The following is a 25,411-nucleotide window of genomic DNA, read 5'->3' on the forward strand; positions in this document are numbered from 1 at the left end:
GCATATAAAATGATCTCAATAAAAGCATGAAAGCTTATTTCCTGTCTAAAGAGGCACATAATCCATTTATCTCACCATTTGAGGTAGAAAAAGAACGGACTATAACAGTCCAAATTTACTACTACATCCTTTTCAAAAATCTGATCTCGATTCCGTTTTCTATATTCCCATCATTCTCAATTCTGACTTAAGTGATGGAAGATTAATTCCAAAGACAGTCAACTAGAGCTAAGACAAAGTAGTTAAGTACAAGAAAATTAAGTGCTAATTTATTAAGTTATCAAACTAAAGAAGAAAGGGAGAGAAGCAAAACTGATCTTAGTGGACTAAAACTCTGCTCTAAAAGGTACAAAAAGGCCACTCTTCATGATTGGTACATATCTTTTTTTTTTTTTTTTTTTTTTGTGAGATGGAGTCTCGCTCTGTCGCCCAGGCTGGAATGCAGTGGCGTGATCTCGGCTCACTGCAAGCTCCACCTCCCGGGTTCACGCCATTCTCCTGCCTCAGCCTGCCAAGTAGCTGGGACTACAGGCGCCTGCCACGACCATGCCCGGCTAATTTTTTGTACTTTTAGTAGACACAGGGTTTCATCGTGTTAGCCAGGATGGTCTCGATCTCCTGACCTCGTGATCCGCCCGCATTGGCCTCCCAAAGTGCTGGGATTACAGGGGTGAACCACTGCGCCCGGCCACCATGATTGGTACACATCTTAAATAACACCTACCTCTTATCAGGAGCTGCCCTGGAAAGATTCCGGTCATGCTGTCTCTCTTTTCGCCTGTCATGCCGGATTTCATCCCTCTCACGTGCCTCCCCATCCTCTGTGTGAACAGTTGAAAAGTACTTCACTGTAATATGTATTATATGTGTGCATACGTGTACACGTGTGTATATATATAATTTTTTAAAAAGAGACAGCATCTCACTCTGTCACCCAGGCTGGAGTGTAGTAGCATGAACATGGTTCACTGCAGCCACTACCTCCTGGATTCAAGTGATCCTCCTGCCTCATCCTCCCGAGTACCTGGGACCACAGATGTGTGCCACCATGCCTGGCTAATTTTTAAATTTTTTGTAAAGATGGGGTCCCACTTATGTTGTCGAGGCTGGTCTCAAACTCCAGGCTCTAGTGATCTTCCCACCTAGGCCTCCCAAAGTGCTGGAGTCACAGGTGTGAGCCACTGCACTCAGCCCCATTAGTATTTTGTTTGTTTTGAGACGGAGTTTCGCTCTTGCTGCCCAGGCTGGAATGCAGTGGCGCGATCTCAGCTCACCGCAACCTCTGCCTCCCGGGTTCAAGCGATTCTCCTGCCTCAGCCTCCCAAGTAGCTGGGATTACAGGTGTGCACCACCATGCCGGGCTAATTTTTTATTTTTAGTAGAGATGGAGTTTCACCAAGCTAGTCTCAAACTCCTGACCTCAAGTGATCTGCCGCACCCAGCCAATATTCTGAACAAGAGAATATTTTTTAACCTTAGAAAATTCCAAACTTCTTTGTAGTCACACTCAGCCTTTTAAACCTTACTTGCAATTAATTTAAGTCTAATAAATGATATTAGTTTAATTTTTGAATGTGAATTCTAGAATCAAGCATGCGGCTAAAATATTTAAGGGTAAAATGTATTGCTGTCTTCAACTTACTTTGAAATGCAATGCAGTAAATCGGACAGACAGATGGACAGAAAGATGGGCAAATATGTGATAAAGCAAATTTATCAATGTTAATTGCTTTTAAAATTTATTTTTGATATATAATCATTATACATATTTATGGGGTATATATATTTGATACATGAACAAAATGTGTAATAATCAAATCAGGGTAATTAGGATATCCATCACCTCAAACATTTGTTTGTGTTGGGAACATTCTAAATCTTCTAGCTATTTTGCAATATACAATAAATTATCATTAACTATTCTTCTCTTCTAGCTATTTTGCAATATACAATAAATTATCACTAACTATTCACCCCACTGTACTAGGAACATTAGAACTTACTCTTTCTAACTGTATTTCTGTACCATCAACCAATCTCTCTTCATTCCCTGTCCCCAACATCCTTCCCAACCACTGGTAACCACCATTCTACTCTCTGCTTCCTTGAGACCAACTTTTTTAGCTCCCACATACAAGTGGGAAGATTCAGTATTCGTTTTTCTGTGCCGGGCTTATTCACTTAATAACCTTCAGTTCCATCCATATTGTTGCAAATTACATGATTTCATTCTTTTTTATGGCTGAGTAATATCCCATTGTGTATATAGACCACATTTTCTTTATCCATTCACCCACTGGACACAACTTGATTCCGTATCTTGGTAACTGTAAAGAGCACTGCAATAAACATGGAAGTGCAGATATCCCTTTTTGATTTGATATACTGATTTCCTTTTGGATATATACCCAGCAGTGAATTGCTGGATCACGTAGTGGCTCTATTTTCAGTTTTTTGAAGAACTGCCATACTGTTTTCCATAGTGGCTGTACTAATTTATATTCTTACTAAAAATGTACTAGTGTTCCCCCCCTTCTGTATCCTCGCCAGCATCTATTATTGCCTTTTTAATGATAGCCATTTTAACTGGAGTGACATAATATCTCACTGTGGTTTTGATTTGAATTTCCCTGATGATTAGTGATGCTGAACATTTTTTCATACACCTGTTGGCCATAAGTATGTCTTCTTTTGAGACCGTCTATTCAGATCATTTGCCCATTTTAAAATCAGATTATCTCGTTTCTTTGCGATTGAGTTCTTGTACATTCTGGTTATTAATTCTTTCTTAAATGGATATTTTGCAACCATTTTCTTCCATTCTGTAGGTGGCCTCTTCAGTCTGTTGACTGCTGTGCAGAAGCTTTTCAGCTTGACGCAATCCCATTTGTCTATATTTGCTTTTGCTGTCTGTGCTTTTGAGATTTTACCCAAAAAATCTTTGTCCAGACCAATGTCCTGAAGCATGTCCCCAGTGTTTTCATCTAGCAGTTTCATAGTTCAGGCCTTACATTTAAGTCTTTAATCCATTTTGATTTGATTCTTGTATGTGATAAGAAATAAGAGGTCTATTTTCATTCTTTTGCATGTGACTATTCGGTTTTCACAGCATTATGTATTGAAGAGACTATCCTTTCCCCAATGTATGCTTTGGGCATCAGCGTTAAAAATCCACGCATTGGCTGGGCATGGTGGTGGTTCATGCCTGTAACGCACTTTGGGAGGCTGAGGCGGGTGGATCACTTGAGGCCAGGAGGTTGAGACCACCCTGGGTGTAATGGCAAAACCCTGTCTCTAAAATAACACAAAAATTAGCCAGGCGTGGTGGTGCGTGCCTTAGTCCCAGTTACTTGGGAGGCCAAGGTGGGAGGATAGCTTGAGTCTGAGAGGCGGAGGTTGCAGTGAGCTAAGATTACACCACTGCACTCCAGGCTGGATGACAGAGTGAGACGTTGTCTCCAAACAATCAAAAATTCCATGCATTTATAGCCGATCCATTTATTTCTGGGTTCTCTATTCTGTTCCACTGGTCTATGTGTCTGTTTTTATGGCAGTACCATGCTGCTTTGGTTACTATAGCCTTGTAGTATATTTTGAAGCCAGGCAGTGTGATGCCTCCAGTTTTTTTTCTTTTTATTCAGGATTGCTTTGGTTATTTGGGGTCTTTTGTGGTTCCATACAAATTTTAGTATTGTTTTTTCTATTTCTTTGAAGAATGTCATTGGTATTTTGATAGGGATTGCATTGTGTCTAGAGCTAGCTTTGGGTAGTATGAACATTTTAACAATAATAATTTTTCCAATTCATGAGCATGGGCTATCTTTCCATTTTTAGAGTGTCTTCTACAATTTCTGTTTTTAAAATTTAATTTTTTTTCTTTTAAAAAGAGATAGGGTCTTACTGTGTTGCCCAGGGTGGTCTTGAACACCTGACCTCAAGTAATCCTTCTGCCTTGGCCTCCCAAAGTGTTGGGATTACAGGTGTGAGCCACCATGCCCAGCCTCTTCAATTACTTTCATCAGTCTTTTATCATTTTCTTTGTGGCGATCTTTCACTTCTTTGGTTAAGTTTATTCCTAGGAGGCTATGTGCAGTGACTCATGCCTGTAATACCAGCACTTTGGGAGGCTGAGGCAGGCAGATCACCTGAGGTCTGAGACCAGCCTGGCCAACGTGGTGAAACCCCATCTCTCCTAAAAATAAAAAAAATTAGCCAGGCGTGGTGGTGTGCGCCTGTTGTCCTAGCTACTCAGGAGGCGGAGACACAAGGATTGCTTGAGCCTGGGAAGCGGAGGTTGCAGTGTGCTGAGATCATGCCACTGCACTCCAGCCTGGGTGACAAGAGTGAGACTCCGTCTCAAAAAAAAAAAACCTTTATTCCTAGGTAGTTTTTGGTAGCTATTATAAATGGGACTGCCTTCTTGTTTTTCAGCTTGGGTATCCTATTTGTATATAGAAATGCTACAGATTTTTGTATGTTGGTTTTGTATCTTGTAATGTTACTGAATTCGTTTATCAGTTTTAAGTTTTTTGGTGGCATCATTAGGTTTTTCTAAATATAGGATCATACTGTCTCTGACAAAGTATAATTTGATGTCTTGTTTTTTTTTGTTTTTGAGATGAAGTCTTGCTTTGTTGCCCAGGCTGGAGTGCAGTGGCATGATCTCAGCTCGCTGTAACCTCTGCCTCCTGGGCTCAAGCAATTCTTGTGACTCAGCGTCCTGAGTAGCTGGGATTACAGGTGAACGCCATCATACCCAGCTAATTTTTGTATTTTTAGTACAGACGGGGTTTCATCATGTTGGCCAGGCTGGTCTTGAACTCCTGACCTCAAGTGATTGCCCATCTCAGCCTCCCAAAGTGCTGGGATTACAGGTGTGAGCCACTGTGCCTGGCCTTCCTTTCCAATCTGGATGCCCTTTATTTCTTTCTATTGCCTAAATTTCTCTGGCAAGGACTTCCAGTCCCATGTTGAGTTACAGTGGTGAAAGTGGGCATCCTTGCCTTCTTCCAGATCTCTGAGTAAAGACTTCCAATGTTTCTCCATTCAGTATGTCAGCTGTGGGTTTGTCATATATGGCCTTAAGTATTTTTAGTTATGTTCCTTCTAAGCCCACTTTGTTGAGAGTTTTTATCATGAAGGGATGTTGAATTTTTTCAAATGCTTTTTCAGTTTCTACTGAAATGATGCTATGGTTCTTATTCTTGGTTCTATTAATGTGATGTATCACATTTACTGATTTGCATATACTGAACCATCTTTGCATCCTTGGGATGAAGGATAGTTCAGTTGATTATGATGAATGATATTTTTTAATGTGTTGAAATCTGTTTGTTAGAATTTTGTTAAGGATTTTTGCATCTAAGATTATCAGGGATGTTAGCCTGTGGTTTTCTTTTTTGTTGTATATTTGTCTAGTTTTGGTGTCAGTATACTAATGACCTTGTAGAATGAATTTGGAAGCATTCCCTTCTCTTCAATTTTTTGGAATAGTCTGAGTAGAACTGGTATTTAGTTCTTTAAATGTTTGGAAAAATTCGGCAGTGAAGCTGTCAAATCCTGAGCTTTTCTTTCATGGGAGCAATGTTAATTGTTAAAAAAAAAAAAAAAATTAGTGTAGAATCTAGGTGGTAGGAGATACGGGTGTTCATCATATAATTCTTTCAGCTTTTCTGTATGTTTGAAAATGTTCATAATAAAATGTCAGGAAAGGCTGGGTGTGGTGGCTCATGCCTGTAATCCCAGCACTTTGAGAGGCTGAGGCAGGTGGATCACCTGAGGTCAGGAGTTTGAGACCAGCCTGGCCAATATGGTAAAACCCCATCTCTACTAATAATACAAAAAATTAGCTGGGCATGGTGATGGGCACCTTTAATCCCAGCTACTTGGAAGGCTTAGGCAGGAGAATTGCTTGAACCCAGGAGGCGGAGGTTGCAGTCAGCTGAGATTGCATCATTACACTTCAGCCTGGGCAACAAGAGCGAAACTCCGTTTCAAAAAAACCAAATAATAATAATAATAAAAAAGTCAGAAAAAAGGAATTATGCATAATGTTTCCCTTATATTTTCAAAGATTCTATTGAATAAAGAACTGTCAGCTTATTTCCCTTAGGGGCTGGCTGGATCTTGATTTCCACTGCATTTATATCTATCTTCATTTTTTTCTACCCTCGCCAGTCTGAGGGAATGGAGTACAGTTAAGAGCATAAGATTTGGAGCAAGCCTGTCTGGATTCAAATCCTGTTTCTATAGCCAATTAACCATGTGACCTGCGCAGATTACTTAATACTATAAGCCTTAGTTTCCTCCTCTGTAAAACAGTCACAATAATAGTATCACTACATAGGGTTATCCCAGGGATTATGAGATAATGCAAATAAAGTACTCAGAGTGGTGCCCACCATAAGAAGCACCTGATAAATGTTAGTTTTTACTACTATCTGGCAAGAGATTCATTAAAATTTTTAATTTCTTGAGAACGATTCTGTTGTCTTTTTCTTATTAGTTTAGAGAACTCAAATGCAGTAAGTTTTACTTCTAATTATCTTCTATGGTTAGGTATACAACCAGGCAGGTATTTATATCTCACCTTATTAAGTCATTCATATATAACTGAGGGAAGTGGATCACTACTTAAAACCCTGGTTATTTCCCTATGGTTGAACTCTAGACTCTTGTAACCAATTACCTGGCACCTCCATCTTAAACTTAACATATCCTTAACTATAATAAATTCTTCATCTTTCCCTCCCAAACCTGTTCCTCCTGCAGTCTTCCCAATATTAGTAAATAAAAGTAATATTTACTTTTATCCTGAGCAATTGGCAATTTAATCCTTCCCAACTGCTTAGGATAAAAGTTCTGGAGTCATCCTTAACTCCTACTTTTTTTCGTATCTCCACCTAATCCACAAACAAATTTTGTCAACTCTACTACCAAAATACATCCAATATGGGACCATGTTTTTGTTACCTCTTGTTACTATCTCTCTTACAGTTTATTTGGAAGGCATTAGCCCATGCCCATTCCACAGTATTCTATTTTTAACACAGCAGCCAGGGAGGTCTTTTAAAAATATATGTTAGGGGAAATGGTCATATGGTACAAAGTCTCATTTATGCAGGATGAGTAAGTTCTGGAGATCTAATATACTGTATGTTAACTATAGTTAACAGTACTGCATTGTATATTTGAAATTTGCCAAGAGAGTAGATCTTAAGTGTTCTCACCAAAAAATTTAAAAAGTAACTATAAGAGATGACTGGTAAGTTAATTAGCTTGGCAGTAGTGAATATTTCACAGTGTATATTAAAACATCATGTTGTATGTTTTATACAATTTTTATTTGCCAATTGTACCTCAATAAAGCTGGAAAACAGTATGTCAGGTCATTACTCTGCTCAAAACCCTGCAATTGCTTCCCTTTTCACTTGTAGTAAAAGCTTTATCTTTAGGTTAAAGGGCCATACATGATCTGGCCACTACTCTTCCCACCTGCCCTAACTATTCTGACACCTCATCTCCTACTTATCCCCTTCTTTCTCATACAAATCCAGTCATATTGGCCTGTCTGCTCTTCCTTGGGCCACACTAGGCATACTCCCATTTCAGAGCCATGTACTTGCTGGCCCTTCTGTGTGGGATGCTCTTCCCCCAGAAATCCACATGGTTTGCTTCCTTACTTTCTTCAAGTATTTCTGCTAACAGCACCATCTCAGAAGTGAGGGCTATTTGACCACTCTCACCTTCTGGCAATTTTATATCCTCTTTCCCTGTATTATTTTTCCTCCACAGCAATTATTACCTTTTACTATACTACATGATTAATTTCTGTCTGTCTACACTCACCAGAATGTTGACTGTTATATCCCATCCCCCTACCCACTGTCTAGCAAAAACACTTTGTGTCTAAAAGAGAACCTTGCACACAGCAGATGCTCAATATGAACTAAATAAATGAAAGAATGAATAAATGTACCAGGTAAGAATTTAGTAATGAAAAAAAAATAACCACCCTCACAAAATTTCTTGAATTATACTTAGGACTCGACTTCCCACTCTAATTGAATTAATACACCAATGTAGACCACTAAGTAAAGTCAGAGAGAAAATACTGGCAGATTTAATGATGAGAAATGCATTGGAGCCTACAAGATAGAAAAACTCTGGATTACTTCACCATATGAGGGAGCTGAATTATTCTGTTAGATACCTAATTTCTCTTAAGTTTTGAGATTAAGATAAGAGAAAATCAAGCCTATCATTTGAGTAATAATGCAATTTTGAAAAGTACACTGCTCAGAAGTTTAAAAATTTCTGGTACAGTCCCAAACTGAAGACCCACTTTTTTCTTATCTCCTGTTGCTTCAGCTTACTAAGGCAGAGATTACTCTCCATTTCTACACTATATCTGATGTATCTAAATTTTGTTTATATGTACCTACTTTATATGCAGTAGGAAAAAGATTTTCTAAAATAAGATATATTTTGTTCACCAAGCAAAATTCAATTCAGTAATGAGAATGTCATACCTTTTTCCACATGAGTTTTGATCCCAGCTCTTCTCTCCCTGGCTTTCTGGGCCATTTCTCTAAGTTTCTCTTCATGTTTTTCCTTTTCTTTCTGAGCCATTTTTCTCTCTACTTGGGCACGCATTTCCACAGCTTCACGAGCCTGTTGGTAAAGTCACATGTTAAACAGGACACTATCATGGGATAAATATTTATGGCTATCATCCAACTCCCTAACATCTGGCTGGTAAGAGCAATTATACAGAATTCAGATTTGTTATTGCTAATTAAAACAAAGAGTCTTGTCCACTAAAAGATATCCTGCCTGGAAGACACTGCAAGGTCAGCTTTTTTCTCTGGGAATATTTTAGTGATTGAAACTATCGTGACCCCAATTAATCTTGTAAGTCAAGTATTTCACTAATGCTTTCTCAGAAACAATCTAAAGAACAAAATTAAAGCCAGGCATAGTGGCTCTCTCCTGCAATCCTAGCACTTTGGGAGGCCAGGGTGGAAGGACTGCTTGAGCTCAGGAGCTTGGGACCAGCCTAGGCAACATAGTGAGATCCATCTCAAAAAAATAACATTTTCAAAATTAATAACACTTTCAAAGTTAATCAAGTCAACTCAAGATAAAATCTTAACTTACATCTGCTAGATAATTTTTATAAGGGTACTCACTGTGATACAAAAGACATTTTTTTTATGTTCCAAACACATGCTATGATGCATGTGAACTTCAATATCACATATTAATTCCATAATATTTATATTTACATATATTTTTTGAGATGAAGTGTCTTACTCTGCTGCCCAGGCTGAAGTGCAGTGGTGCGTTCTTGGCTCACTGCAACCTCCACCTCCTGGGTTCGAGAGATTCTCCTGCCTCAGCCTCCCAAGTAGCTAGGATTACAGGTGCATGCCACATCCAGCTAATGTTTGTATTTTTAGTAGAGATGGAGTTTCACCACATTGGTCAGGCTGGTCTTGAACTCTCAACCTCAAGGAATCCACCAGTCTTGGCCTCCCAAAATGCTGGGATTATACACATGAGCCATTGTGCCCAGCCTAATTCCATAATATTTAATACATTATGTAACATTAATAGATGGCCAATGCTATGAACGCCATTTTATGTACTATTCAATTCATTAGAATGTTTATCTGCCTTTTCCTGCAACTGCCCTTTTGGGGGACATCTACATCTAAAATAGAGGAAAATTTGAAATCAAAAATTATGAAACCTAGCAATCTTCAAAAAATGGGATCATCCTAGGAAACCATTATTCTGACATGTTGTGAGGGAGCCGGATCACCACTGTGGGGTGTATGTACACATCTACAAAAGCTGGGAGCATGCAGAGAGCTGCCAACTAGCAGCTGCCATTTCTGACACACGTACCATGGGTGAGACTCTCTTTGGGTGCTCGGTACTATAGTTAAATTATCAGTACCTTAGGTAACCAAGAATGGATTTTAAAAGTAACAAGAGCATTAAACAAATTATAACAAACCAACCTTCCGATCAGCAATGTAGAGGGCTTCTGCCAATTTGGCGAAATTTTCATTTATGTGTACTGTCTGTAGTCCTCTTCCATCAGCAGCCAGACGTTTGTCTAATGGAATTGTATAACCCTAGAGTGAAAGCAGACAGAAAACCCAGTCACAGAAGTGCTTCAATTAATCGTCTGAAGTTAAATTAATTTTATTTTTTTCGAGCTGGAGTCTTGCTCTGTCACCCTGGCTGGAGGGCAGGGGTGCCATCTCGGCTCACTGCAACCTCTGCCTCCTGGGTTCAAGCGAGTCTCCTACCTCAGCCTCCCGAGTAGCTGGGACCATAGGCGTGCGCCACACACTCGGCTAGTTTTTCTATTTTTAGTAGAGACGGAGTTTCACCATGTTGGCCAGGATGGTTTTGAATTCCTGACCTTGAGTGATCCGCCCTTGGCCTCCCAAAGTGCTGGGATTACAGGCATGAGCCATCGAGCCTGGCTAAAATTAAATTTAAATATGCCCACATTTTGAGAACCACTTAACTGGAGGTTCTTTTTCCTTGCATCTTTCTTCACAATGATGCAAAACAACAGCAGCTATCAATGAGTGCTTTATGTAGAAGATCAAGCACTTACACCTATGGTCTCATTTAACCTTCACGATAACTCTATAAAGCTTCTAACATTATTGTGTCCATTTCACTGATGCTTTGGTAACATCCCCAAGGTCATACAGTTAGTAAGTGGGCGATTAGGATTTAAACTCAGCAGGATTTCAGAACCCAAGCTCTGGAAAAATAGATATTTGTGTTAATAATTGTCGATTTTAATAAAAGGAAATCACTGTCAAACAGTTCAACAGTTGCTCCTCAAGTAAATTTAACAGTCAAACAAAGGTAGAATCACTATAATCTTAGCATCTATAGGAAGTTAAATCTGCTGTACTGTCTTAATGATCTGTTATATTCTTAGAATCCTGAAGTTTTAGTAAATAGAAAAAAAAGGCTGGGTGCAGTAGCTCAAGCCTGTAATCCCAACACTTTGGGAGGCCAAGGCAGGTGGATTGCTTGAGCCCAGGAGTTCAAGACCAGCCTGGCAACATGGTGAAACCCCGTCTCTACCAAAAATACAAAAAAGTAGCCAGGCATGGTGGGGCACACTTGTGGTCCCAACTACTCGGGAGGCTGAGGTGGGAGGATCGCCTGAGCCTGGGAGGTTGAGGCTGCAGTGAGCCATGATCATACCACTGTACTCCAGCCTGGGCAACAGAGCGAGACCGTCTCAAAAAAAAAAAAAAAAAAAAAAAAAACCAAAGAAAAAAGAAAAAAAAATGTTTGCTAAACAACTGAATTTCTACATTCTAAAACTTTGCATCCCATTTCAATAACTCAAGAACTGTACTTGAATGTCTATGTAACTTTCAGGCTTAGCTTTATTTTCCAGATATCTGACTAGTCTCTCAAATGTTGACTTTTAGTCCATGGTCTCATAATAAAATGAAGCATTATAGAACCAGCTCAAGATACCATCCAGTTACAAAATACCAATCAACTCAAATCAGACCAGTCGGCAACCTCTTTGTTTAGGGTGAGTATATAAATTCTCTTAAGAAACCTGAAATGGTCTTCTTTATCCATCAAAAATAAAATCATGAACTATGATTCAGGGAAGATGAAACAGTAACTAGCAAATCTATCCCACAATCTACAGATTCTTAACAACTCCTAGAAACTTTGGCAATTATTAGAGATATATAGCTTAAGCCTTCACTACTACAGAGCCCAGTAGTTGAATATTAAAGCACTTAAAGTATCCAAGCATTTACTCTGTTCTTTTGTCATATAATCTTTTACATCAGTTTACTTTCTTTTAGAAATAATTTTTAGATATAAATTTGAGTTTTCTAAATACCATCTTGTATTTATATGACACTTTATTCTACTTATTCCTTCTCTATGTGCTTCTGCTAGCTACAATTCACTAAAAGAACTGATATGGGGCCGGGTGCGGTGGCTCACACCTGCAATCTAAGCCCTTTGGGTGGCCGAGGCCGGCGGATCACAAGGTCGGGAGATCAAGACCAACCTGGCCAACAGGGTGAAACCCCGTTTCTACTAAAATACGAAAAATTAGCCGGACGTGGTGGCATGCGCCTGTAGTCCCAGCTACTCAGGAGGCTGAGGCAGGGCAATCGCTTCAACCTGGGAGGTGGAGGCTGCAGTGAGCTGAGATCATGCCACCGTACTCCAGCCTAGTGACAGAGCGAGACTCCGTCTCAAAAAAAAAAAAGGAACTGACACGGTATTCACGTGCCTGGCATACTAACATTTCTATTACATTAAAAAAGTCACCAAATTGGGCATTCCTTTTTGAAAATGCTCAGTTAAACCACGTGTTGTTTCAACTACAGTTATGCAGGCTGTAGTTGTTTTACTGGTGTTTTCCAGTAGGTTATACTAATAGAGACTGATTTGACAACTTAATTACCTTTGCATTTTTCCAGTTAGAAATACAAGGAGGAATCTTCCACTCTTGTTGTTCCTTTACAGTCATCTGAGAGAAGAGGGAAAGAAGAGACAAGTTTAGATTTATAGTCTACAAAGTAAATCTAAGTATAATCTTTATCTTCAAAGACAGCTCCATATACACTGACATATGCACAGCCGTAGTAAAAGGCCAGCAGTCCATTTGTTTGCTAGCACTAGTTTACCATATAATTCTAGTAATAACTTTGAACTAGTGTGAAAAATGGAAAATAATCTAGAAATTATTCTTGACAGTTATAAATGTTGGCTAGTATTTTTCCATATTTAAAGTGATGTGACTTTTTTCTTTTTTTTATTGAGACGGGGTTTCGCTTTTGTTGCCCAGGATGGAGTGCAATGGTGCAATCTTGGCTCACCACAACCTCCGCCTCCTGGGTTCAAGTGATTCTCCTGCCTCAGCCTCCCAAGTAGCTGGGATTATAGGCATGCGCCACCATGCCCAGCTAATTTTTTTTAAAGTAAAGACGGGGTTTCTCCATGTTGGTCAGGCCGGTCTTGAACTCCCGACTTCAGGTGATCTGCCCGCCTCGGCCTCCCAAAGTGCTGGGATTACAGGCGTGAGCCACCACGCCCGGCCGATGTGACTTCTTTTGGATGAAAAATTGTTCTTTTGATTAACAAAACATATCTTAAAAAGTCAAATTACCAGGGACCTAATGAACCCATATATTCACTTCCTATAACATCCTTAAACTGAAACAGCAGACCCTGTCCATTCCATTAAAAGTAGGGTTTGCATTACTAATAACAAAACTTACAGCTAACATGTTATATACATTCTCATAAGCATTCTTGAAACTTCATCTTGAAAAATAAAAAAAGAAACTACAAGTCAGTGTGGTGACATGCACCTGTATAGGCATAGGGAGGTTATCTATAAAATTAATAACCATGAGTAGAAAAAAATATTTTGGACTACAGCAAAGAATACCTTTCGGCTAGGAGAATGCATGACAGGCGCAGGAGGAGAAGGTGGTCCCCGGGGAATTTTCTTATTAATCCTGAAGTATAAAAACACAACCAGAGAGTGATATAGTTTCCTCCCTTTTAGTCATCATATCAAGTCTCTCCTCCTTTTTCTTGCATAAAAGTTTCAAACATAGACAAAAACAGAGACTGTATAATGATATACATTTACCACTCCACTTTGACAATGAATAAAACATGGCCAACTTTGAAACTGTTACTCACCCCACCTCCACAACATTATTGTCATTTTGCAGAGTAATATACTTTTTTCCACTTTAAAAAGCAGCTTTAGGTCGGGTGCAGTGGCTCATGCCTGTAATCCCAGCACTTTGGGAGGCCAAGGTGGGCAGATCGCCTGACGTCAGGAGATCGAGACCATCCTGGCTAACATGGTGAAACCCTGTCTCTACTAAAAATACAAAAACTTAGCTGGGCATTGTGGTACACGCCTGTAAACCCAGCTACTCAGGAGGCTGAGACAAGAGAATCGCTTGAACCCAGGAGGCAGAGGTTGCAGTGAGCTGAGATCATGCCACTGCACTCCAGCCTGGGTGACAGAGCGAGACTGTCTCTCAAAAAACAAAAACAAAAACAAAAACAAAAACAAAAAAAGGCAGCTTTATTGAGATAATTGACATTTATTAGCTATACATATTTAAAGCATACGATTTGATTAAATTTTGACACAAATATGCACCTGTGAAATCATCATCACAAGCAAGATAGTGAACATGTCTATCATCCCCAAAAGTTTCTGCTTGCCCCTTGCCTATTCCTCTTGTCCCTCCCATCTCCTCTCTGTCCCTACCTCCTTCCCCAGAGGCAACCACCTATCTACTTTCTGTAACTATAGGTTAGTTTGCATTTCCTGGAGTTTTAGATAAATGGAATCATACTGTATGTACTTGTTTTTGCCTGGCTTCTTTCACTCAGCATATTGTTTTGAGATTCATCCATGTTATTGTGTGTATTAGTAGCCTATTCCTTTTCACTTACTTGAACCTTGGAGGCTCCATTGGATCTTTCTGCATTTCTACCATCCGAATAACCCTCTGTTTAGCTCCAGAGTTGAATGCCACTCCTTGCTGAGATGGTGTGTATCTGAAGAAAGCAGATAAAAACTAAAGGTGTAATTAGTTCAAGCTTTCAGTAGGTATTTTCCTTCTATTACAATCTTAAGCTAGACTACATTTTCAATTCCTTTCGCAAAGTATTAACAGAAAATTAACAAAATATTTAGACAAAGCAGACAGCAAGAGGGATAAAAGAACATAAATTATGAGTTACAGTCAAAATATAAACTTGAGTGGTATTAGTTTGCAAATAACCCATCCTCATATGTTTTCCAACATGGAAGGTGCCGTGTTCAGTTTCACAGATAAGCAGTCTAGAAAATAGTACCTATTTAGTATGCCTGCATCTGAGGAAAAAACACTCATAATAATCCCAGCAGGCAACTTACGGTTAGCAGTTTTTGATTAATCATAGGTTATAAAACAGAGAAAAGAATAATGACAGCAGCCCTACCAGCTCTGAATTTTTCCTCAATATCTGTATGTGATTCAATTCTCTATGCAGATTTAGTCAAGTAAAACGCCTCAAAATTTAGAAGTATTATAAAGATATCTATTACTTATAAATGGAAAACTATAAATAATAATTGTGATTTAGGTCATATACCACAAGTAACTGTTAATTTCTAAAAACAAAAAATATAATTTGAAAATAGCATAGGGCCAGGCCGGGTGGCTCATGCCTGTAATCCCAGCACATTGGGAGGCCGAGGTGGGCAGATCATCTGAGGTCAGGAGTTTGAGACCAGCCTTGGCCAACGTGGTGAAACCCTGTCTCTACTAAAAATACAAAAATTAGCTGAGCATGGTGGTGCAAGCCTGTAATCCCAGCTACTCAGGAGGTTGAGGCAGGAGAATCGCTTGAACCCAGGAGGCAGAGGTTGCAGTGAGCCAAGATTGTGCCACTGCATTCCAGCCTGGGTGACAGAGTGAGACTCCATCTCAAAAAAAAAAAAAAAAAAAGAAAATAGCATAGGCTGGGCACAGTGGCTCACGCCTATAATCCCAGCACTTTGGGACCTGAGGAGGATGGATCATTTGAGTTCAGGAGTTCGAGACCAGCCTGGCCAACATGGTGAAACCCTGTCTCTACTAAAAAAAATACAAAAATTAGCCAGGTATGGTGGTGGGCACCTGTAATCCCAGCTACTCAGGAGGCTGAGGCAGAAGAATCTCTTGGGAGGCAGAGGTTACAGTGAGCCAAGATCACACCACTGCACTCCAGCCTGGGCAACAGAGCAAGATTCTGTCCCCCACCCCAAAAAAAAGCATAAAAAGAGGCCAAGTCTGGTGGCTCAAGTCTGTAATCTCAGCACTTTGGGATGACAAGGCAGGAGGACTGCTTGAGCCCAGGAGTTCGAAAACAGCCTGAGCATCACAGCGAGACCCTGTCTCTACAAAAAATTAAAATATTAGCCAGGCATGGTGGCATCAAGGCAGGAGGATCACCTGAGCCCAGGAGGTGGGGGCTGCAGTGAGCTGTGTTGGTGTCACCGTACTCCAGCCTGGGCAACACAGAAACTTTATCTCAGAAAACAAACAAAAACCAAAGTGGACACCTTAAAAAATTCTGCTTTCAATTGTCTGCAAAGACAGTAGACAGGCTTTGAGTCATTATTGAAAACAATGCATTTATAATGGTTGCTAAGTGGGTTAGTGAAAGAATACCATGACCCCCCAAGCTGAATCAAGTTCAGAATGAAACTAAGTCTTCTAGGCATGATTCATACCGGATATACTGAGCAGGAGCCAATTTGTCAGCTGCTCGAACTGGCATGGCTGCGGCGACCTTCTGTGATACAGATTTTTCTAAGGCTACTCTTGTCTTTTCTGTTATCTGAAATAGGAAATATCACATTGAGAGTTTGGAAGTTAATCAGGATGTAAATAGTCATCGAATATATCAATTCCCAGTTACCTCTTTAATAGCTTCTTCATCGGGCCTTTGCAGGTCTGGATCATCTGCATTCATAACCTCCTTTGGAACCAGGTCAGTGTATTTGCTATAAATGACCTAAAATGTTCAAACACAAGCAGGCTTAAGAAAAGCAAACAACGAAAAGAAACCTCATTAGCCATTTCAGATGTCAACATGCCCTCTCAGCACACTTAAAAATTTAGGACACTCAGATTTTCTCTTTTAGATTTTAAAACCAAGGAAGCTTAAAATATATAAACAAATTGCTACCCTGGCTGTAAGTTAGTAATTTTCCCTTGACCTCATGCATTTAAATTGTTTGAGATCTTCTAATCAAGTTAGTATCCAAATAAACCATGCCAACAAAATCATGCATTGATGATCACTATTTTTGAGGCCCACTAAAACTTGAAATTAATGATAATACAAATTGCCTATAGCACCATTAACCTGGATTACAAACTCATCAGAATTTAAGTCAGGTTACCAAATAATTTCCAAATTCACTGGGCCTGAAAAATTTTATTGACCTCATCCTATTTATAACGCTTCTCTTTTCTGCCATCAACTCTATTCACAGACTAAGAAAATAAACATGTGCCACAGTTAAAAAACCCAGAATGCTTTCTTCCATGAGAAGACAAAAGAAAAAAAAAAAGAAAAAGAAAAATATATTCTATATATACAACTTATTTTATATCCATTATCCAAATTGAGGCCTGTTATATGACTTCTACTATGCCCAACATGGTTTCTATTAGGCTGACACTGATGTGGTAGGCTCTTAACAAATAGAATACTGGTTACTTTCAGGTCCATCTATACTTCTTAAATATTTTCATAACAATTTACATGGCATATTTTAAAGTAAAAAAGAGATACAGAGGGGCCGGGCGCGGTGGCTCACGCCTGTAATCCCAGCACTTTGGGAGGCTGAGGTGGCTGGATCATGTGGTCAGGAGATCGAAACCATACTAGCTAACATGGTGAAACCCCGTCTCTACTAAAAATACAAAAAATTAGCCAGTTGTGGTGGCAGGCGCCTGTAGTCCCAGCTACTCGGGAGGCTGAGGCAGGAGAATGGCTTTAACCCGGGAGGAAGAGCTTGCAGTAAGCCAAGATTGCGTCACTGCACTCCAGCCTGGGTGACAGAGCAAGACACTGTATATTAAAAAAAAAAAAAAAAAAAAAAAGAGAGAGATACAGAAAATTCAATAAATAATAGGCATTCTACCTTTAATGCTTTAGTCAGAAATTCTTTGAGGTACATAAAAAGAAAGGACAACTTATAAATATCAAAGAAAATCAAATTCCTAGGCACTTGAGATCTCCAGAATTTTTTTTTGTAGAACTGTTTACCACTACAAGCCAAAGTCTTATATTAATAAGTCTATCATACATCATTCATTAAAAAAGTTTAAAGGAAATGCATGCTATTTCTAATTTTCTACTCCAAACAGAGCAAAAAAGTGTGAGCCACTTTATGGCTTATGCAACTTGACCTGACTTTGCCTATGCCTTCAATCTCCCCTTACAACTCTCACTCTCTCACTCATTATGCTTCAGTCACACTAGCTCATCTTCTGTTTCTTGAACATAACATACTTTTCCCCAATTCTAGGCCTTTACAGAGTTCTGTTTATCATTCTTCAAGTAAGCTCTCAATCTGTGTGTCTCAGATCAAAGGTCCTCCATTATCGAGGCTTCTTCTGATTGCCTTAGTAGTAACCCCTCCCCACCCAATCATTTGCTCCATAGCACTGTTTACTGTGATCAAGACTGTTCACAGCATGAAATTATCTACTTTACATGGTTATTATCTGTCTCCCGTATTAAAACAATAAAAACGGGGAGGGCACGGTGGCTCACGCCTGTAATCCCAGCACTTTGGGAGGCCGAGGTGGGTGGATCACCTGAGGTCAGGATTTCAAGACCAGCCTGACCAACATGGTGAAACCCCGTCTCTCCCAAAAACAGAAAAATTAACCAGGCATGGTGGTGGGTGCCTGTAATCTCAGCTACATGAGACGCTGAGGCAGGAGAATCGCTTGAACCCAGGAGACGGAGGTGACAGTGAGCCGAGATCATGCCATTGCACTCCAGCCTGAGCAACAAGAGTGAAACTGTCTCCAAAAAAAAAAAAAAAAAAAAAAGTGTCTCCTGTGCTTTATAATAATGACTGGAGATATTTGATCAATATTTTTTGTACAAATGAATAAATAAATGAATTTTAGAGATATTCTGTTACATGCTAAAGGTGTTTATAGGCCATGAACAGTGACTCACGCCTGTAATCACAGCATTTTGGAAGGCCAAGGTTGGAGGATAGCTTGAGCCCAGGAATTCGAGACCAGCCAGGGCAACATGGCAAGACCTATCTCTATTTTAAAGAATGGATGGATGAATGAATAAATAAATAAGTTTATATTTTAGGCCGTACAGAACTTTCTATAAGCTACTGATTTCCCAGAAAAAACTATCTCATGGCTATACACTAAAATCTCCAGCTTGTTTTTCTCAGGAGTGAGAAGAGGGATCAGGTAAGAAAGCCTAAGATGATTTAGCACAAAACACGTACTACTGATATGTGAGTTATTAGTGTCACCATACTCTAAGAGTGTTGATTTTGGAAGGGACCATAAAGCTCACTCTACTGAAAAGAGTGAGGTTCAGTACATTAAGATCATACAGCTACTATCTGACCTCAAAAGTCTTATTTCCTCTCAGCATGGAAAAACCTATACAACCCTAAGCTGAAAATTATATAACAACACAAGAAAAAAATACCAATTCTATGAAGAGTTAATCATGAGGAGTTTATCACTTCTCCATAGCAACGGTTATAAGGAAAGGATTCTAAGTAAATGGCTCCCTGGTAGTCATGTATGTTCAACATAAAGTGTCAATACTAATTTAGCATACAAGAGTCATTTGCTGCTCCTTATTTGGGCATTCCAAAGTTAATAACCCTTCAAATGAGCATCAATAAGATTCTAGTATCTCACAAGGCTGAGTGAAGGACATCTGAAGAGCAAGATTCCTCCATAGTAATTAATTATAAAACCCCCCATTTTTTTTTTTTTGAGACGAAGTCTTGCTCTTGTTGCCCAAGCTGGAGTGCAATGGCGTGATCTCAGCTCATAGCAACCTCCGCCTCCCGGGTTAAAACCATTCTCCTGCCTCAGCCTCCCTCCCAAGTTGCTGGGATTACAGGCGCATGACACCACGTCCAGCTAATTTTTGTATTTTTATTAGAGATGGGGTTTCACCATGTTGGCCAGGCTGGTCTCGATCTCCTGACCTCAGGCGATCCACCCGCCTCGGCCTCCCAAAGTGCTGGGATTACAGGCGTGAGCCACAGCACCTGGCCAAAACCCCAAATTTTTATAGTCTGAGAATTAAATGTGCTGAGGAAACTGAGTACCAGGAGGCAAATGGGCTGGGGAGCGTTTTCTGAAAAATACAATATACTCTTGAAAGTATCAGAAGCACAAATAAGCTTTGTCAACAAGATAAAGTAGTAACTCATCTGTGAAACAGATATTTTATTACAGAAAACTGGCAAAGAACTAGACTGACTAAAAGGATAAGCCTGTCAAAACATTCACTATGTGAGGTAGAAAGAAAACGCTAATCTAGCTTAGCTAGTGTGTGAAATCATACAAACAAGATAACATATAATTTATCATGGGGTCAGTTTAAAGTTGTTACGGTTTTTTAGGGGTAATACGTTGAAGGCATTCTTTTGGGTATAGTACGTGTGTAACATTTCGTTTCTTTAAGAGATAGGGTTTCATTATATTGCCCAGGCTAGTCTCAAACTCCTGGCCTCAAATGATCCTCCCACCTCAACCTTCCCAAAGTGCTGGGATTACAGGCATGAGCCAATGCACTTGGCCTGTATGTAGTATTTCTTACATAACTATTTCAGAGGGAAAAATACATACACCAAGCCCTTTATTTCAAGATTTATCACTTGGCTGGGTGTGGTGGCTCATGCCTGTAATCCCAGCACTTTAGGAGGCCGAGGTGGGTGGATCACCTGAGGTTGGGAGTTGGAGACTAGCCTGACCAACACGGAGAAACACTGTCTCTACCAAAAATACAAAATTAGTCAGGCGTGGTGGCACATGCCTGTAATCCCAGCTACTCAGGAGGCTGAGGCAGGAGAATCACTTGAACCCGGGAGGCAGAGGTTGCGGTGAGCTGAGATCGTGCCATTGCACCCCAGCCTGGGCAACAAGAGCAAAACTCCGTTTCAAAAAAAAAAAAAGATTTATCACTTTCATAATTAGGAAAAAAAAAGCATTTGGTTGTATCAAGATTTACACTAAAAAAAACTTTTTCATCCCCAATTTTGTATGACTAATAAGTCGTATACACAGTACTTACTTCACATGTAGAGAATTGCCTTAGACTTGTCCTAGAATATTACGTCTTAGAATCCTCACTGATTCTTCTCACCTCTTATACCTAACACCTAGTATTTTCCATTCTTACTCATTCACTATTAATATTTCAGTGAGAACTCCCTCGTTTCTGAAGAATACCAGACCTCTCGGAAGCAAATCAGAAATCTTAGTCCAAATTCATAAATCCAATAACCTGTTCAGTCTCTGGAATAACAAATTTTTTAAATCCTATTTTATATATTATGCAGTCCATTTCTATTTCTTCTAAAACAGGAAAATCAGTGATTGTCAAACAGGGCATCACTGCCACCTCTAACTCCTCTCTCCCAGTGCCTTTGTAAATGTGTGAGGTGTTTCTAGTTAAGACAATGGGGGTAGGATGGGGACGCTACTGGGATTTATAGGTAGTGCCACTTATGCTAAACATTGTACAATGCTGAAGATGGTCCTAAACAATCAAAGTGCTCCCCCAGTGCCAATGGCACATAATAGTTACTTGATTAATGTTGAATTACTCAATGCATTCCAAACTTCATGCATGAATCTATCCACTTCTAGAAAACAAACAAACAAAAAGATATAAACCTGAGAGTGGTCCCAGTTTGGGGTTTGTTTCTAGTGGCTGCATTACAGACAAAAGCAACGATCTGGCCGGGTGTAGTCGCTCATGCCTGTAATCCCATCACTTTGGGAGGTTGCAGTGAGCCAAGATCGTGCCACTGCATTTCAGCCTGGGTGACAGAGTGAGACTCCATCTCAAAAAAAAAAAAAAAGAAAAAAAGAAAATAGCATAGGCTGGGCACAGCGACTCACGCCTATAATCCCAGCACTTTGGGAAGCTGAGGAGGATGGATCATTTGAGGTCAGGAGTTTAAGACCAGCCTGGCCAACATGGTGAAACCCTGTTTCTACTAAAAATACAAAAAAATTAGCTGGGCATGGTGGTGTGCGCCTGTAATCCCAGCTACGTGGGATGGTGAGGCAGAAGAATCACTTAAACCTGGGAGGCAGAGGTTGCAGTGAGCCAAGATTGCACTCCAGCCTGGGCAACAGAGCAAGTCTCCATCTCAAAAAAAAAAAAAAAAAAAAGAAAAGTAAAGAAAAGAAAAGAAAAAAAAGAGAAAAAACAAGGAACAATGCTTTGGAGACCTTATTTGGCCAAGATACTAAACTCCAAAAATAGATAGTTCAGTCTGAACAGTTCTACTCTATTTTGAATACAAAATAATCACCAATACAGACAGTGATTTAAACATCATTCCCTAGAAATCAGATAAAACTCCTGCTTTCCAGTCTTGAAATATAATGCAAAACGGACCAAAGCTGTATTTCATTCAAAATAACACAACCTGCCAATGCCAAATTGTTGCCCTTAGATGTTGTTTTTTCCTACCAAATGGGACTGGAGAGGTAGCACATACCAATAAAGAAGAGTGATTACCCCCAAGGAGAAATGCACCAAAACAAAGGCAACTGAAGTCAAGTGAAGGCCTCCATGGTATAGAGTAAATTTCCAGTATATGTTCTCCATGTATAGGGGCCTAATTTTCCTTTTGCAGGAGTGGACTACACTTCCTCACTGGCTTCAGAAGTGGTTTTGTGTTATACAATGGAAACCACTATTATTTGCTGAACAAACACTGGTGGACGCCTTATGTGTCAAACTTTCAGGCAGTAAGTAAGGCACCAAAGACGGAAATATAAATATATAATCCCTGCCCTTAAAAACATTATAGTCAAATGATACAGATTATGAGTGAACAGATAATTACAACAAAAGGTGAAGACTGCTATGATAAACATTGAGAGTAGAGAAGAGGGACACTCAGTCTAGCCAGGGAAGGTCCAGGACAACACCCTGGAATAGTGAAGAGTGAGCTGAGAATGGAAAGCAATAGAATTAAGTCAGAGAATGAATAAGGGTAGAACTTTCTAGGAAAAAGAATATCCATGGGAAGTCTCAAGAGAGAATGTGTCATATTATGGGAACTACAAGTAGTTCCTCATGGCAAATATTTATAGGGAATGCTTGAATGTTTTTTCTTCTTGGCTGGGCACGGTGTCTCATGCCTGTAATCCCAGCACTTTGGGAGGCCAAGGCAGGTGGACTGCTTGAGGTCAGGAGTTCAAGACCAGCCTAACCAACAAGGTGAAACCCATCTCTACTAAAAAGACAAAAACGAGCTGGGCATGGTGGCGGGCGCCTGTAATCCCAGCTACTCAGAAGGCTGAGGCAGGAGAACTGCTTGAACTGGGAAGGCTGAGGTCGCAGTGAGCTGAGATTGCCCTACTGCACTCCAGCCTGGGGGACAAAGCAAGATTTGGTCTCAGAAAAAAAGTTTTTTTCTTCTTAACAACCACCTTGGCTAGGTGCAGTGGCACACAACTGTAATTCCAACACTCTGGGAGGCCAAAGCAGGCAGATCACTTGAGCTCAGGAGTTTGAGACCAGCCTGGGCAACAAGGTGAAACCCTGTCACTACAAAAAATACAAAAATTAGCCGGGCATGGTGGTGTGCACCTGTAGTCCCAACTCCTTAGAAAGCTGGGGTGAAAGGATCACTTGAGCTCAGGAGTTCAAGGCTGCAGCGAGTCGTTATTGTGCCACTGCACTCCAGCCTGGGTGACAGAGCAAGACTGTCTCGAAAACAAACAACAACACATATAATAGTATTTATTTTATAGTGAAAACAAACAGAATGGCTAAAACTGAACTATTTATTTTTGGATTTCAGTATTCCGATCAGGAGAGTTGAAGCTAGCCAAGAAAAGTGAGTAAGGGGTCAAGCATGCCATAGCAGCTTAGTCCTTACCCTAAAGACCATGGAAGCCATAGAAAGATTTTAATTGTGCACACTTGCGTGTATGTGTATATACATGATGAGAAAGACAAACAGACATGGATGAATTTGTTTGTTCATGCCAGCAAGACAAATGTCAATGAGATGGTTGCAGGCTTGGCTGCAGTAAATCAAGCAAGAAATGAAAACAGCCTGAACTAAGTAGCAGAGAGGGGAATATACTTGAGAAGTGTTAAGGAAATAAGATCGTTCACAGAGAATAAATAGATGGAAGGTCTGAGGGAAACAAGAACTAGAATAATTGCTGAGCAGAGAGAACATATGGGCAGTATGTGTCACATGTGAAATCTAAATAGCCTTTGAGCCAGTAAGTCCACACCTAAGAATTTAAACAAATAATCATGTTCAACAAGATGTTTGTATGTGGATCTTGAATACATTTGTTTGTAAAACTAAAAACCACCAATGCTTAAAAAAACTAGCAGATAACCATGCCACGGAATCCTATATAGATTAATAAAAAAAAATGAAGTAGACTTATATGTACTAACAAAAATTGTCAAATGTGTTAAGTAAAATAAAAAGCAAGTCAAAGGAAGTTATGGGCATCAAAATTCCATTCATGTAAACAACAGTTTCTAAGTTTGTATGTATACATAAAATGAGGATATACATAAATATCTAAATCCATAATAAAAATTTGGAATTATAGCTCCCCCTCCCCCTCCCCCCTTCTGTGCACGGTCTCCCTCTCCCTCTCCCTCTCCACGGTCTCCCTCTGATGCTGAGCCGAGGCTGGACTGTGCTGCCACCATCTCGGCTCACTGCAACCTCCCTGCCTGATTCTCCTGCCTCAGCCTGCCGAGTGCCTGGGATTGCAGGTGCGCGCCGCCACGCCTGACTGGTTTTCGTATTTTTTTGGTGGAGATGGGGTTTTGCTGTGTTGGCCGGGCTGGTCTCCAGCTCCTAACCGTGAGTGATCTGCCAGCCTCGGCCTCCCGAGGTGCCGGGATTGCAGACGGAGTCTCACTCACTCAGTGCTCAATGTTGCCCAGGCTGGAGTGCAGTGGCGTGATCTCGGCTCGCTACAACCTCCACCTCCCAGCCGCCTGCCTTGGCCTCCCAAAGTGCCGAGACTGCAGCCTCTGCCCGGCCGCCACCCTGTCTGGGAAGTGAGGAGCGTCTCTGCCAGGCCGCCCATCGTCTGGGATGTGAGGAGCCCCTCTGCCCGGCCGCCCAGTCTGGGAAGTGAGGAGCACCTCTTCCCGGCCGCCATCCCGTCTAGGAAGTGAGGAGCGTCTCTGCCCGGCCGCCCATCGTCTGAGATGTGGTGAGCGCCTCTGCCCCGCCGCCCGGTCTGGGATGTGAGGAGCACCTCTGCCCAGCCGGGACCCTGTCTGGGAGGTGAGGAGCGTCTCTGCCCGGCCACCCCGTCTGAGAAGGGAAGAGCCCCTCCGCCCGGCAGCCGTCCCATCTGGGAAGTGAGGAGCGACTCCGCCCGGCAGCCGCCCCGTCCAGGAGGGAGGTGCGGGGCAGCCCCCGCCCCGGCAGCCGCCCCGTCTGGGAGGGAGGTGGGGGCCAGCCCCTGCCTGGCCAGCCGCCCTGTCCGGGAGGTGGGGGGCGCCTCTGCCTGGCCGCCGCCCCATCCGGGAGGTGGGGGGCGCCTCTGCCCGGCCGCCCCGTCTGGGA

At 40.9% G+C, this 25,411-nt stretch overlaps 1 protein-coding gene across 3 annotated transcripts in view; it reads right to left on the bottom strand.

Annotated features, from left to right (window-relative positions):
• SNW1 (SNW domain containing 1) overlaps window positions 1-25,411 on the bottom strand; it is a 43,558-nt gene that overhangs the window by 4,858 nt on the left and 13,289 nt on the right. For 2 of the 3 annotated variants that reach the window (NM_012245.3, NM_001318844.2), the window contains exons 4-11: window positions 16,510-16,605; window positions 16,322-16,428; window positions 14,515-14,619; window positions 13,481-13,550; window positions 12,491-12,556; window positions 10,029-10,145; window positions 8,532-8,673; window positions 725-821 (exon numbers count right to left, since the gene is read on the bottom strand). In NM_012245.3, the coding sequence (NP_036377.1) occupies window positions 725-821; window positions 8,532-8,673; window positions 10,029-10,145; window positions 12,491-12,556; window positions 13,481-13,550; window positions 14,515-14,619; window positions 16,322-16,428; window positions 16,510-16,605 (800 nt within the window). The remainder of the gene's footprint in view (window positions 1-724; window positions 822-8,531; window positions 8,674-10,028; window positions 10,146-12,490; window positions 12,557-13,480; window positions 13,551-14,514; window positions 14,620-16,321; window positions 16,429-16,509; window positions 16,606-25,411) is intronic. The other variant, XM_047431112.1, reaches the window with a different exon arrangement.

The sequence above is a fragment of the Homo sapiens genome, chromosome 14 (genome assembly GCF_000001405.40).
Source record: "Homo sapiens chromosome 14, GRCh38.p14 Primary Assembly".
NCBI lineage: Eukaryota > Metazoa > Chordata > Mammalia > Primates > Hominidae > Homo > Homo sapiens.